This window comes from Homo sapiens, chromosome 21 (assembly GCF_000001405.40).
Source record: "Homo sapiens chromosome 21, GRCh38.p14 Primary Assembly".
NCBI lineage: Eukaryota > Metazoa > Chordata > Mammalia > Primates > Hominidae > Homo > Homo sapiens.
In genome coordinates this window covers 15858907-15874892 of record NC_000021.9, presented here as the reverse complement: position 1 = coordinate 15874892, position 15986 = coordinate 15858907, and the positions used below count along the sequence as shown (strand labels likewise).

General features: G+C 32.9%; 1 protein-coding gene across 17 annotated transcripts in view; it reads right to left on the bottom strand.

Annotated features, from left to right (window-relative positions):
• USP25 (ubiquitin specific peptidase 25) overlaps positions 1-15986 on the bottom strand; it is a 150083-nt gene that overhangs the window by 5172 nt on the left and 128925 nt on the right. For 15 of the 17 annotated variants that reach the window (NM_001352560.2, NM_001388301.1, NM_001388302.1 and 12 more), the window contains 4 exons: positions 10447-10625; positions 8549-8627; positions 4746-4825; positions 367-490 (listed from right to left, as the gene is read on the bottom strand). In NM_001352560.2, the coding sequence (NP_001339489.1) occupies positions 367-490; positions 4746-4825; positions 8549-8627; positions 10447-10625 (462 nt within the window). Of the gene's footprint in view, positions 1-366; positions 491-4745; positions 4826-6880; positions 6942-8548; positions 8628-10446; positions 10626-15986 lie in introns of those variants that run through there. The other 2 variants (XM_011529529.2, XM_047440749.1) reach the window with 2 other exon arrangements.

Sequence of the window (15986 nt, the reverse complement as noted above, 5' to 3'; positions counted from 1 at the left end):
GCCAGCCTGCATATTCTTATAGACTTACATAAAACATTTTTTAAGGCTTATCTATGCATCCCTTCCTCTCCCACCAAAAAAAGGAGTGGTAGTGTGATGACGAAATCTAAATACAGAAATGTAAACAAACTGATGCTATTTTAAGAACATTTCTCATTTATCACCTATAGTACTTGGGATTCATAAAGAGAAAAGAATAAAGTACTGAGTGTACTTTTCCATCTGAAGGGACTAGAACCAGTTTATAGACATCATCATGTTCTTATCCCCTCAGAGTTTATGGAGTCAATCACTTATATATGAGTCTGGAAAACTTGCCCAATGTCAGACAAAATGATAAGATCATACTATATGCATTCAACTTACTAGCAAACATTCTCTTCTATAATGTGATATCAATTCTTCATCATGTCCTCTGTATAAGCCTTTAGACAAGAGTTCTTTGTTATTCTGATAAGCACAGATGAGGAACAGCAAGGAATCTATATAACTTGAAAATTAAAAAGAAACATATAACATTAGTATTTCACCTTTGTAGAAACAAAGTCAGCTATAATTATGAAACATTTTAAGTATATGCTTAAGTTTTGATAATCTACATTATAATAAAAAATATCATCTGACGCAGTGTATGCTTGAGAGCGCCTTTTTAGCAACAGCAACATCTGAAACCCAGAGATAGTTATCTTAAAAGTAAAAAAAGAAGAGCTATAAATTAAGAAAAAATCTGGGAAAAGAGGCAATAACTGATAAAGTCAGATAGTTCTGTTTTCCTTGGTATTTATTTTCCTGATGTCTTCCATTTAAACTCAAAATTGGAGCTAATGTGAAAGCCAACAATCTAATTGTTTAACGCAATGTCACATTTATATGAAGTAAATGATCACAAACATCATTTGGTTTGTTCAATGACAACTTAGACAGGTTCTTTTCTATGTGCAGACAGTTTTAGTTACTGAGAAAAATGTAAAAAAAAAATAGAAATAAGAATATCTAAAGGAAATAGAGGAAGTGGACAATGAAAGATTTCTTCTAAATCTGGGAAACCTAGTGGAATAAAGCAAAAACAAAAAGCCTGCAAACATAAAAAAGCTGATAGAGGCCGGGTGCGGCGGCTCACACCTGTAATCCCAGCACTTTGGGAGGCTGAGGCAGACGGACCACCTGACGTAGGGAGTTCGAGACCAGCCTGACCAACATGGAGAAACCCCGCCTCTACTAAAAATACAAGATTAGCCGGGCATGGTGACACATGCCTGTAGTCCCAGCTACTCGGCAGGCTGAGGTAGCAGAATCCCGGGAGGTGGAGGGTGAGGTGAGCTGAGATCACGCCACTGCACTCCAGCCTGGGCAACAAGAGCAAAACTCCGTCTCAAAAAAAAAAGAAGTGATAGAATTAGGCATATGTGTTATATTAATGTAAGTCTAGATATTATGAAATTCAAATTAGGTTTTAAAAAGGGAAGAAAAGGGGCCAGGCACAGTCGCTCATGCCTGTAATCCCAATACTTTGGGAGGTGGTGGTGACAGGATCAGCTGAGGCCAGAAGTTCAAGACCTGCCTGGCCAACATAGTTGACACCCCCATCTCTACAAAAACATTAAAAAAAAAAAAATTAGCTGGGCATCGTGGTACATGCCTGTAGTACCAGCTACTCAGGAGGCTGAGGAGGAAGGACTTCTTGAGCTGAGAAGGTAAGAGGTTGTAGTGAGCCATGATCATACCACTGCATTCCAGCCTGCGCAACAGAGCAAGACCCCAACTCAAAAATACAAAACAAAACAAAAATGGAAGAAAAAAATATTTAATAAAGAATTACTTTTACCTCAAAACTATCCTTCTAACATGTCAAAATAAAAACTATATCTAGCCAAGTATTTGTATAACTGAAATAAAAAATATTATTTTAAAATATTTCCTTTGCGTCAGTTTTTCATTAATATATTTTTTCACAGATTAATATGGAAAAATATATTTTAAAAAATGAAATATTGTAAAGAAACACAATTTTAAACTCTAGACGCTCCTGCCAATAATTACTGTTTATTACTTAATTCATGTACTTAGATACAAAATAAATCCATTCCACATCCCAAATGTTAAATGTAAAATTATTTAAAAATTAATGTATACATTCATGGCAAATCAAATTACACACCTGAAGGTGTCATGATAAATAGGTCTATTTTATACATTTTTTGAAAACGGCTTTCTAGGAATTTGTTTTTGAGATTAAGTATAACATTTTATTTTGAAATGATATTAGGTTAATAAACATATTCTCAGTTAAAGATGTTATTTATGAAAAACGAAGGAAGTGATAATATTAAAAGTTGTTTTACAACATTAAGTTGTAGTAGTTCGTTAATTAATAAGTAACTAGCACATCTATCTTTTCCTTTATAGCTACTGAGTTTCCTGTTAAGAAGATCTCTCCTGAATGACACTGACATCTGGCTTTCTAGACCTGAGTCACCTCTTTGAGAATTGCTCTGAAACCATGACCTTGTTCCAATTCTCTACTGAGGTACGCAAAATGTTCCATATGTTATCAAACTTTAAAGTGCTTACGAATGTATATTCAAATAAATTTAGAATAAGATTTAGCAGTCCAATTACCATATTCTTATCTAAGATAAAATAAGATCATGTAGCCTGGTACACTCTATAAAATTATGGTTCTTGCAACCATGATTTCACTTCACTGTTCTCAGGACTCACAAGGGTCCATCAGTATTTCATTCAAGCCTTTAAATGTTTACATTTTCATTAAAAACAATTTTGACAGAATCTTTTGGCAATATTTTACAAACAGCTAGCTACAATAACTGCTATATTTAAAGATTTAAAGTAAAAAAAAAAAAAAAAAAAAAAAAAACAGTATTTCTTTCTTTTTTTTTTTGAGACAGTGTCTCGCTCTGTCGCCCAGGCTGGAGTGCAGTGGCGCGATCTTGGCTCACCACAACCTCCGCCTCCCGGGTTCAAGTGATTCTCCTGCCTCAGCCTCCTGAGTAGCTGGGATCACAGTCGCACACACACCAATATTTCTTTAAAAGATATTCCACAAGTAATATCTGTCACCATTATTGATTTTCTAGTTAATCCTTCTAATTTGGTAAGTATTTACTATACTAGAATATTAACTTTCTGAATAAGTATGTATTTGAAAACTGACAAGCAAATTGTAATATTTAAACATATTTCCAAGTTATATCTCAAATTCCTTTAATGTATGTTAACTGGGAACAACTAATACAGAAGCTATCCGGATAGGTACAAAGTGACAGTTTCATCTTTTTAATTCTTATTGAGATAAATGAATACATTTTGTACTTACATGATTTCATTAAATTATACAAGAATACGAGGTCTCTATTTTAATTTTTCTTCTCCTAGTTAGCTGTGTGACCTTGACAAAGTTACTACATCTCTGTGAAGTCTGATTTCTTTATCTGTAACACTGAAATGCCTTTTTATATCTCACTCTATTGAATTATACGATCACATTATTTTTCTCAAATCAGCACAAATATAAATTCTAATAGTACATTTGAATATTCCTATTAAAGAAATAAAATCTTGATTGACATAACTCATAAATTGGAGGTATTGATCAAAGTAAGTTTTCTACATCAATGACTAAAGTGAAATTATCTTATAAATAGCACAATGACTAGGACTTTAAATAATTTGTACTTAAGTACTTAAGACAAATTGTTAAGTAAAACATTAATTTTTCCTTTTGTGTGATAACTAAAAATTTTGATAACTATTAATATAAAAATGAAAGTACTGTCCTCTAGAATAGTACTGTCCAATAGAAATTTCTGTGATTATGGAAATGTTCTGTGCTGGCTAAAAATAGAGGCCACTAACCACATGAGGCTACTGAACTACTGAAACGTGGCCGGTGTAACCGATGAACTGAACTTTGGTTTTAAAAGTTTTAGTTATTTAAGTTTTGTCAGGTGGCCGCTATGTTGGACAGCATAGCTCCAGAATTAAACACTGATCTTTGTTTCTTTTTTTGAAAAAGAAGCATCATTACCTAAGTGGGAGCTTCTTAAATTTCATAAAACAAAAAAGAAAGGAAAAATTCAATATCCCTTTTACTTGGCTGCAATATACACTGCATTGAAAATAAAGCATTTTCTCAAAAAACAATCACTAGGGAAGTTAATGTTCAACAACACGCATTAAGAAATATGTGGAGAAATACATGCAAACTAGTAAATAACCTAAAATGTAAGTAAAGCAAAATGTATCCTTTCTTCTTAATAACAATTAAAATAATAGTATAATTAAATAAGTAGATATTCCTTTAAGACCATCCTTAATTTAAATGAAAATTAATCCAAAATTTGTTTAAAGTCACAGTACACAAAAATTTTCTACAGCTACACTTTTTACAGAACCTGAAAGTTCACAAAGACAGACTGCAAACACTATCTCTGACTTGATATCAAGATCAGACTCAGCTTCAAGGGTAGTGTTTGAGAGCTAATAAACACAGACACTAATGCCAACCTTACGGAGTTTTAAATGGAAAATATATTTTATGTGGGGTATATGGGAAGTCTCTATATCAACTGTGTAATTTTTCTGTAAATTTAAAACTGATCTAAAATAAAACATTTATTAAAAATACAGAGTATGAATAAAATCTTTTCCATGGATGAGGTCACACCTGAATAGAATTAAGTGCAAAAATTATGCTCTTTTCATATTTGTCCACTTTGCCTTACCTTTCTCTTTGAAAATTTTCTAGCCCAATTATGAGATACATAGTTGTTTCCCTGAATTTCCTATAATCCTGATGCCACTCCTGTAGGTGAAAGAAAATATTAAAAATGTTCAGAGTAAGATTTAAAAAGTACTATGAAACTGTACAAAAAGTAATGCACTGTTTCGCTACTATCTGAATTAATAGAAATAAAGAGTTCAAAATGAAGATACATCAGAACTAAAACAAGACTTTACTTTCTGGCACACAAGACTATTTATTAATACAACATTAAATCTAAAAATTATTAGGCATGGATATGAAATGTTTTAAACAATAAAGATTTTACTAGCAGATAACAGAAATATAAAGGCAGGATAATCAATCAGGTCATCTCAAAAATTCATCAGTATAAAATCATATTATTGAACTATTATTATATCTACATCAACTGATGGAAGAAAATGAAATATTACGCTGAGTATGAATCAAAGCTTGGACACATACTTAATACATAATTTTAAGAAACTAAAAAAAGTTAGATTTATTTAACCTTTTAACTTCGCAAATATGTGGTAAATTTGACTTTAAGTGTGTAGGCGAATAGTTTATTTACATGAGATATGGTAAAAGAATAACTGCAGTTCACATTTCAATGCCCCTCCCCACCCCCAAAACAACTATAGGGCATGTAATAGGACTAAATAATTCTAAGGTGATACCAAAGTCAAGATTTTCTTAGCTTACTTTATAATAATTGACTCAAGAAAAATAACTGAAATTCAATGTAGGATAAATTGGAAAGTGAATACTGATAACAAAAGTGTTAAGGCTTTTATATAAACATTATAAACAAAAATAAGAAACATAGTTATTAGCCAACGATATTCTCCTTGAATATAAACTTTTTTTTTTTTTTTTGGAGACAGGGTCTCACTCAGTTGCCCAGTCTGCAGTGCAGTGGCACGATCACGGCTAACTGCAGACTTGACCTTCTGGGCTCCAGCAATCCTCCTACCTCTGTCTCCCAAGTAGCTTGAATTACAGGTGCATGCTCCCAGTTCCAGTTAATTACTTAATCTGTTTTGTATAGACAGGGTCTTGCTATGTTGGCCAGGCCGGTCTCAAATTCCTGGCCTCAAACAACTCCCTGTGCCTTGATTTCCAAAAGTGCTGGGATTATAAGCATGAGCCACCACATCCAGTCTTAATTTTAATTTTCAAGACATAATTTTCATGCTATTAGTAGATCTTCATAACAAATAAAGGTAAAATTTGTCCTGCAAGTATGAAGTTAGCTTTTCTGGGGAAGGTATTCAAACTGTCATTCCTTGTTGTCATTAGAATCACCTTAGAAGTTGTGAGTAGGCAAACTTTTTCTGTAAAAGGCCAGATAATATTTTAGACTTTGCAAGCCTCATCTTCTTCAGTTACTCAACTCTGTAACTGCAGTGTGAAAGTATCCACAGACAATATGTATACAAATGGCCATGTTCCAATAAAAGTTTATTTACAAAAACAGGTGGTAAGCTGGTCTGCAGGCTATGGTTTACTGAACCCTGAACTTAGAGCAAGACAAAGATAGGAGGAATATGCAGAATCTAAAAACAAGTCATTTAAATACTTGTATGATTTAACAGCCCTGCAGTTAGAATATGAGAAGATTTTATGAAAAAAAACATAATGAGTCCAATCTGTTGAAGCAAACTGAAGGAAGCATTGCAGAATCAAGTCACAATTAAAAATCAAGTTCCATGAACACGAATCTTGGGGACAAGGGAAGAGCTCTCAATCAATGTGGAGGGCACAGATTTGGAGTCATTATTAGCTAAAAGATGACTTGACTTGCTCCTCAGGGTCAAGAGAAAACAAATTTTGAATTTCTCTGGCTCTAGATTACATATCCTGGTCAAAAATATCTGGTCAGTGAGTGCCTCTTATGGATAAATGAATGTCTTTGGGCTTCTACCTATGTTGACTTCTAAACAGCTTTACACAGGAGTCTTTCACAATTGAAATGAATTTTTGCATATGGAATAAAGAAGAAATCAAATTTTATTTATTTCCCAGAACCATTTATTAAAAAGTCTTTATACTGTTCACTAACTTGCTTGTCAGAGATGGGAGGTGGACTGGGATCTTTGCATTTCCGTAACATTTTTCAGTTGGCTTATCAAGCTCCATAAAACATCTTGCTGGAATTTTCATACAGCCTGCACTGAATTTATAAAGCATTTGGGGGAAAAGTGATATCTATATATTAATAATATCAAGTTTTCCAAATACCATATGTATGCCCATTTATTTAGGTCTTTGTTAATGTCTCCCAATAAGTTTTATAATTTTCCCCACAGAAGTCACACGCACCTTTTGTTAAATTTATTTCTATATACTCCATAGTTTCAGATACTATTGTAAATGGTCTCACTTTTATACTTTCTCATACTTTTTTTACTGGCAAAAGGGAATAAAATTGATGTCTGACACAAGTTTGCATGCTGCAAAGCTGTCTTACTAGTTCTAATACATCAGTTGTAGATTTTATTTGAATTTCAAGGTAAAAAAAACTACAAATAATGATGTCTTTGTTTCTTCTTTTCCAGTATTTTACTTTTCGCTTATTTTCATTGCCTTGCTTTTGACAACAAAAATTTTAAGCTTTCAGTGCTCACAATTCTATATATTTGCTGCAGTTTTATTATTTCCTATTTTTGTTTTTAGAGACACTCTTTAGTGAATTAAGGTAGTTACCTTATACGCCAAACTAGCTAAGGTTTTCATCAATAATGAGTGTTTTCTCTCTCTTTCCTCTTCCCTGTTTGTGTAGTGAATTACACTAATTATTTAGGGAATCTAAAGTACCATAATTAAGTTTGTAAATGGAACTAAATATTAAGCAAAGGCACCCAAGAAAACAACTTAAAATTTACTAGACTTATAAATTAAAAAAAAGACAATGCATAAGATTAAATTTAAAAATGTGAAGAAATACTAGGTGTATGAATTCATCAATTAAAATAAAGAATATTTTAAAGCCAAAGTTGACAAAAAATAATTTTGTGCACAAAAAAATCCCACAAGCACATGTACAAGTACCTATGTAAGTGCTCTCTCACACACAACACTGTCTCATGACAAACATATATGGCATATAGGGACTAAAATGAATTAACTTCCCCAAAATATATCTGATGAATCAAAGTGAAGGAAAAAATACAGCCCACAGGGTACAGTTGCACAGTGTAGTGCAACAGTTAAGAATGTAGGTTCTATTAGCCAAGCTGTAAACTTGTGGCTGTGAAAACCTTAGGCAGGTTACTTCACTGCTCTATGCCTTATTTTCTCGTGTGTCAAATGGGAATAAGAACACTACCTATCTTACAGTGTTACTGTCTGAATTAAATCAGTTAATATATGTAAAGGGCTTAGACAAATGCCTGGCATATAGTAGGGTCTTGATAAATATTACTTGTTGGTATTATGTAACAGCAATTTCTAAGTTGATTTCAAAATTAACAATGCATTTGTTATTCTGTTTTTAAGCTAGAAAAGTTCATTTAAAAAGTACTTGAGAATTAGTATTGAAATAAAAAACCAAAAATCTTCCTTTTTTGATTTTAAACTTTTTGGTCTACATGCTATCATATCATGTTAATCCTAAAATCACATATAAAATTATTAATTACTTGAGCATTGACTTGGAAACTTAATTTTTTTACTCATCATTCATAACAAATTCAACTTCAGTTGGGCTGAAACGAAAGGAATATCAGTGAATTACAGAATCCCTAAATCTGTAGTTTAACCTCTAAGAAAGCACATTACCTCATATTCCTCCAAGTTTACTTCTTCAGGTTTTATCATTTCCAGTTTGGCTTGAGCAACTTTCATTATGTTGTGACACCTTAAAAAAAAACACATACATATGAGCGTGTGTGTATGTGTGTGTATATATATATATATATATTTGTAAATCAAAAGCAAAATCCATAAACACTGAGCAAAAACAGCAGTACTTTTGTATAGAAACAACTCCTAAATAACCTTAAGTGAAAAACATTTTTGGGACCAATGTTGGGGAATTACAAAGAAGACAGGAGCAATAATTCTAATTCAAATTTACTGTGTTGTATTGATATATGGCTTTTAAATTACATTCTAATTAACACAGTTTGCATAGGAAAAAAATGAAACTTTTAAAAAATAATGTGCATCTATTAAGCAAGCTCAAGAGACACTGCATCTTCTTTTCCCCCCACATGGTATTATTTATTCTTAAATACTAAAGAGTCTAAAACGTGCCTATCATCTCAGGTAAAAATGGAAACATCCCACTGGATTTTATGATCAGAATCAGTGATAAAGAAATCCTCACGAAATGTATTTATTCACATGTGCATAACTCTGTCTTTCAAGCACAAGTCAGGTTATCAAAACAGATTAACTAGTTATAGTCAGAGAACTGCAAAAGACTGAAAAGTCAATGTGATTACTCCATTAATATCTTCTCCAAATTAAACAGCATAGATCCAATGGAACTCAGTACACTGATAGCACAGATAACGAGGGTCACAACAACCCTGTTTCTGAACTCTCTGCAGTCGCATGTATCAAAATAAATGATGTCCACACTGCTACTAATATAAACAGTAGTGGCCAACATTCACTGAGCATTCAACCACCTATCAGATATTGTTCACAACTATTTATTTGTATTATGCACAGAATCCTACATTTCACGGCACATATCTAATAAGGTAGGATCAATCCAGATGCTTTGCCTCCCCTCATATTCTTTGCTATACACTTTTAACTCAGTATTTTTGAGACACTCATAAAAGGATGATCATTTCAGAATTAAAATTACAATGAACTGCAACAGCATAAATGTTTTTATATATGAAAATAACTTTCAATACTCTAAAATTTCACATGGGCCCTGAAATTATTTTCTAGTGTCACTCATTCTAATTAAATTGTGATTTTTAACATTAGTAGTTTAATAGGACTTTCTGAATAATTCTTTATAAAACTACTAATATAATCTAGAGAAAACATTCTCTGGAAATATTCTATAGAATATTTTCTATATTCTACAGAAATTCTACAGAAATTTCTATAGAATATTTTCTCTTTCCAGAGAAAATATGTCTGCGTGAATCTAATTTAACCCTTCTAAGCCTCCTCTTTATGTCAAAGAATGTTTAATTATTTTATCTGCAAGACTGAAAACTTTTCTCCAGTGATTCTCTAATAAGGGTGACTTTGCTCCCCTAGGAGTTATTTGGCAATACCTGGAGATATTTTGGTATGCCACAACTTGGGAGCTGCTACTGTCATCTAACGAAGAGATGAGGGATATTATTAAATATCCTACAATCATAGGACAGCCCCAACAACAAAGATTTATCTAATTTAAACTGTCTATATAGTACAGAGGTTGAGAAGCCCATTTTTGTTTCTAAAATATTGAGTGTAATAAGTGCAGTGATTACTTGATTCACAATTAAAATTTATTAAAATGATCTAAGTTATTTTCAGTTCAAACTTCAAAAGGCCACAGACTCCAGCAACTAGTCACATTGAGTTCAAATTTTGTTACGTATTTATTAAAATATGTGCCCATGCATATATAAAATAAATACTCAAAAAATTATCCTGGGAATCTGCAGGAAAAAAAAAAAGAACGATTTGAGCATATGAATTTTATACTTTCAAATTACCTTTCATCAAAACTCAAATTTCTATCTCCAAATTGTTCTAGTAATGTTTTCTCAATAATTTTCTTTGGTGCCTGGTTCTGGATAAAGTAGACCACTACATGATGTAAACGATAATCGGTTTCTGGTGGGGTGTCTTCTTGGGCCAACTTAACCAACCTTGCATATTCCAACTTAATTGCCTGGAAAATGCAATGAAAATGATAATTTTGGTTAATTATTTGAACACCAAAAAATCCTTCAATATTATGAGTTTAATTCTTCTTGCATTTAAATCTTTTTTTTTTTTTTGGCTTTTAAAGTATCACAAACAAGGCAGTACAACTAAGAACACAGTCCCATGTTCCATAGACTCAAGGAATTTTCTGAATAACTGACCACAAAGGCCCTTCTTTTAAAAAAAAAAAAAAAAAAAAAAGAAGTCTCCCACTCTCCCCCAGGATGGATTGCAGTGGCGTGATCTCGGCTCACTGCAACCTCCACCTCTCAGGTTCAAGTGAATCTCCTGCCTCAGCCTCCCAAGTAGCTGGGATTACAGGCGCCCACCACCACGCCCAGCTAAATTTTTTGTATTTTTAGTAGAGATGGGGTTTCACTATGTTGGCCAGGCTGGTCTCAAACTCCTGACCTCATAATCCGCCCGCCTTGGCCTCCCAAAGTGCTGGGATTACAGGCGTGAGCCACGTGCCTGGCCACAAAGGCCCTTCTTTATCCCTTCACTATATAAACGTTCTTTTTGCTTCCACACATGAAAGCGGTAAAATATGTCTAAACTTACAATGTGAGTAATTCTGTAAAATTTATCAGAGCCTAGTCAAAGTCTATTCACAGACATCATAAGATGGAGATGGTAAGTTTTCCCGTTCTGTTTTACCTTTCTAAGCATCAGTTTGAACACTAAAATTCTAGAGTTGATATATAGCTCCCAACAATACTCAAATCTGAAAGAAAATTGTTCTTAAATGCATAGTCGTATTATTGCAATTAACTTTTAGCTGAATAGCCCACAAATAAGGAATGCAACATCAAGCCCCGGGGTTATAATTATCACAAAAAGAAGTATTTATTGCTCCAACAGTACGTACATTTTATTAATGTAAGAATAATAATGATAATATATTATCACTATTATTACCTTAAGGTTTAAACTTAGTTTTTCTTTATAAACAAAAATACCTCATAATATACAAATAATAATGGGAAATAACAAATACTAATGCATGTTTTAATATACAAGCAAAATCTAGAAAATATCTGACCATATAGAAATATGTATAGATTTACACATATTGTACATATTGCTATGTACAAGAGGACCATATGATTAAGATAAAGCTTTTTATATTCATTTATATTATACTTATATGTAAATTCTAGCTCTAATAAGCATAAACATTTTGGGCTTCAGGCAAGATTACAAAAAATCCATTCAATTAAAAAGTTTTTTTAATTTAAAAAATGCATGCCTTTCTTAAGTAATTCTTTGACGTCTAGATGTTATGATCTATATGGTTGTATTGTACAGATGGGAGAAAAAATAACTGATAAACATTAAATGAAATATTCTAGTTATGTAATATCATACTCATTAAAAAGGAAGGCTAATATGTTCTTTCTATGCAGCATAAGATTATAAATAGAATAAGAGAACAAATTATTTTAAAATACTTTTCCCTTGAAAAAACTGACTTTTTTTTTTTTGAGGATATACATGTCATTCCAAAGTCTTATGTGAATAAATAACAGCCATAAATATCAACTGTATTTTAATATTTAAGATTATCAACGCTTACTGTGTGCCTAGGTAGCACACATAAGCTTCTCTTAGAGCTCTTTAAAAATCTTCCTATTATCCAAATTCGGAAAAAAAAAAAAAAACGGGGAAGGGGGGAGACCAAACATAATAATCAAAGTAGGAAGAATTTGAGAATAAATCTAAAACATTAACAATTCAATTACTGTTCTTGTTGATATGAACCTTCGATAATGATTGTCACAGGCTACAGGTTGAGTATCCCTAATCTGAAATACCTGGGACCAGAAGTGTTTCCAATTTTAGATTTTTTTCAGATTTTGGAATGTTTGCATTATGCTGGTTGAGCATTCCGAATCCAAAAATCCAAAATCCATGATACTCCAATGAACATTTCCTTTGAGTATCATGTTGGCACTCAAAATGTTTTGGATTTTGCAATATTTCAGATTTTGAATTCTGGATTTGGGATACTCAACCTGTAATAGACTTTTAGAATATTCAAATATTTCGTATATCATACTTTAGTACAAAATAGCATGACCAAAATAAAACAAATTTGTACTGAGTCTCTTAAATTAATATTGCAGGTTTACATGCACGGAGTGATTCCACTAAATGGTCATCATTCCCCTACCTACTTTCAAAATAGAAGCTGTTTTAATAAATAGCAGATTTCTATTATAGAACTGAAATATATAACCTCTTATACTCTAAGATTATATGTTCACCTCTTGATTTTGCTGAATTTAAGACTCTCCTAATTTTCACAAGCAAATTGCCAAAGTCACAGTATTTTTCAGTATATAGGTGTTTAAACCAGCAGAGGTAGAAAGACACTTCTAAATTTCTAGGAGCTGTTTTTCAATCACACAAGAAAACATTTTTACCACCATAAATGCAATTCTTAACTATTTTTTATACACTTCCTTCTTAAGAAATTACCTTCTAAATTTCTAGAAGCTGTTTTTCAAACATACAAAAAAACATTTTCACTAGCATAAATGCATTCCTTAACTATTTTTTACACACTTCCTTAAGAAATTTTTGGCTTTTAAAATATACTGGAATCATATTTATTCAAATTCTCAACAGATGTTCCATGCTAGTATATTTAGCAGAGTTCTACACAATCTGCCATTATGAGTAAATTAACATTATATTTGTCTCATACTACCTCCTCAGAATCCTGTTCTAGAATTATATTTGCCCATATTTTTTGGCGGTCTATGCTAATTATTTTAAGTTAATTATCACAGACACTGCAATGAAATCACCACGCATGTGCAAAATGAAATGTGATACTAGTCATTAGATGACAGAACTGCTATTTAATTTTTTTAACTTTTTTAACTTTTTCACTAGACCTTTAATCAGGCTTAATGCCATTTATTCAATCTTATTTCCTATCATCCTGCAACAAGGATCTCCCTCCTATCTAGGTTAGGCTTGTCTCCTCACAAATGCACACATGCCTTTGTTTCTTAAGTTCTCCATATGTGTGATATCCTTTCTTGTTCATTCCCCATCTACCTACAGATGACCCATCAGCAAAATTAGTTTAAGTCATGCTTTTGAGACCTTGTTCAGTTCTAAAGATGCAAATAATTTCTACCTAGACTTTTTTCTACTTTTCTAAGTAATACTGTAAAACCATATTCTAAATTTATAACTTCTTATGGACTTAATTTTTTATGTAAACTCTCTCTCTCTCTCTCTCTATATATATATATATATATATATGAAGATACCAAATATATATATATGTGAGTATGTGGATACCAAAAATATAAACATTTATATTCTGGAGGCAGTTAAATCTAATGGGAAACTGATGAGATTAAAATTCAAAAAGCTAGATACATCATTTATAATTAATTGTGACATAGAATAAGGCACATAATCTTCTAAGTCTGATTGCTCTTATCTCTAAAATAAAGTTGGTTAAGAGAGTTTATGTGTATTTTAAAATGCTTATGGGCTATTTTTTAAAAACTGACAGTGCCAAGAAATGAAGAAAACTTACTTCAAATTCCAGAGGACTGAAATAATATTGGCCATATTCTTTGACCACACTGTAATACAAATAGGAATTATAAATAGAGATATCTTCCAACCTAAATACTTAGAAAATTTAAAATATGGCTCTAAATTATTCTTGAGCCAAAGAAATAAAAAACTATACTAATATGGGAATATCAGATATCAAAACCTATTGGGCTGTTAGTCAAAAAAATTTCCAGGCCAGGCACAGTGGCTCACACCTGTAATCCCAGCACTTTGGGAGGCCAAGGTGGGCAGATCACCTGAAGTCAGGAGTTCAAGACCAGCCTGGCCAACACAGTGAAACCCTGTCTCTACTAAAAAATAGGAAAAATTAGCCAGGCATGGTGATGGGCGCCTGTAATCCCAGCTACTCGGGAGGCTGAGGCAGGACAATTGCTTGAACCCAGGAGGCAGAGGTTGTGGTGAGCTGAGATCATGCCATTGCACTCCAGCCTGGGAAACAGTGTGAGACTCCGTCTCAAACAAACAAACAAAATTAGCTGGGTATGGTGGCGGGAGCCTGTAATCCCAGCTGCTTGGGAGCTGAGGCAGGAGAATCACTTGAACCCGGGAGGCAAAGGTTGCAGTGAGCCGATACTGTGCCATTGCATTCTAGCCTAGGCGACAGAGCGAGACGCCATCCAAAAAAAAAAAAAAAATATAGATATATATATATATATACATATATATATCCAATTTAAATATAGAAAAGATTTCAAGAATTTAGAAAAATAAAATATAAAGTAGGAGAAATAAAATATAATGTAACAATTTGATAGTCAAAGGCTTTTTCTTTCCAAAAAGTTGGATGGAAGACCAAAAAGGGGAAGAAAACTCATCGGTAGAAATAAGAAAGGTGATAATACAGAAAAAATGTTTTAAAATTTCTTGAAGAATAACACATATAACTTTGTTAATAGACTACAGTATCCCAACAGATAATAATCTAGAAAAATATAAACTACCAGAACTGCTTTCAGAGGCAGAAAAACTGAACAGACTCTGTAAAACTTAAAAGTTTGCCCTAGAAATCTGGTAACACGAAAGATATCAAGCCCACGATGTTTTCGAGCTGGGCTGTTATGTCAAATCTTCAAGGATCAGATAATTTCTGTGATATCTAAACTGCCACAGAGCCAGAAAAACAAGAGAAAGCGGCCGGGCGCAGTGGCTCACGCCTGTAATCCCAGCACTTTGGGAGGCCGAGATGGGCAGATCACGAGGTCAGAAGATTGAGACCACCCTGGCTAACACGGTGAAACCCCATTTCTACTAAAAATACAAAAAAAACTTAGCCAGGCGTGGTGGCGGGAGCCTGTAGTCCCAGCTACTCAGGAGGCTGAGGCAGGAGAATGGCGTGAACCCGGGAGGCGGAGCCTGCAGTGAGCCAAGATGGCACCACTGCACTCCAGCCTGGGCGACAGAGCGAGACCCCGTCTCAAAAAAAAAAACACAAAACAAAACAAGAGAAAGCCTCCTTAATGGTTATAAAAGGCTATATAATATAGATATATTATATATATATAATTTGTATATCCAAAATTGACAAATATAAAGAAAGAAACTATAGATCAATTTTGTCTATGTACCCAGATGCCAACACCCACACCCACTTTTGGTAAACAAACAGTGTGGTGTACAAAAAATATATGAGATAACAAAAAGTGTTTACAATAATTTTTTTAAACATAGATCAAAGTTAACACCTTTACAATTATTAAGAATTAAGGGTTTACAAGTATTA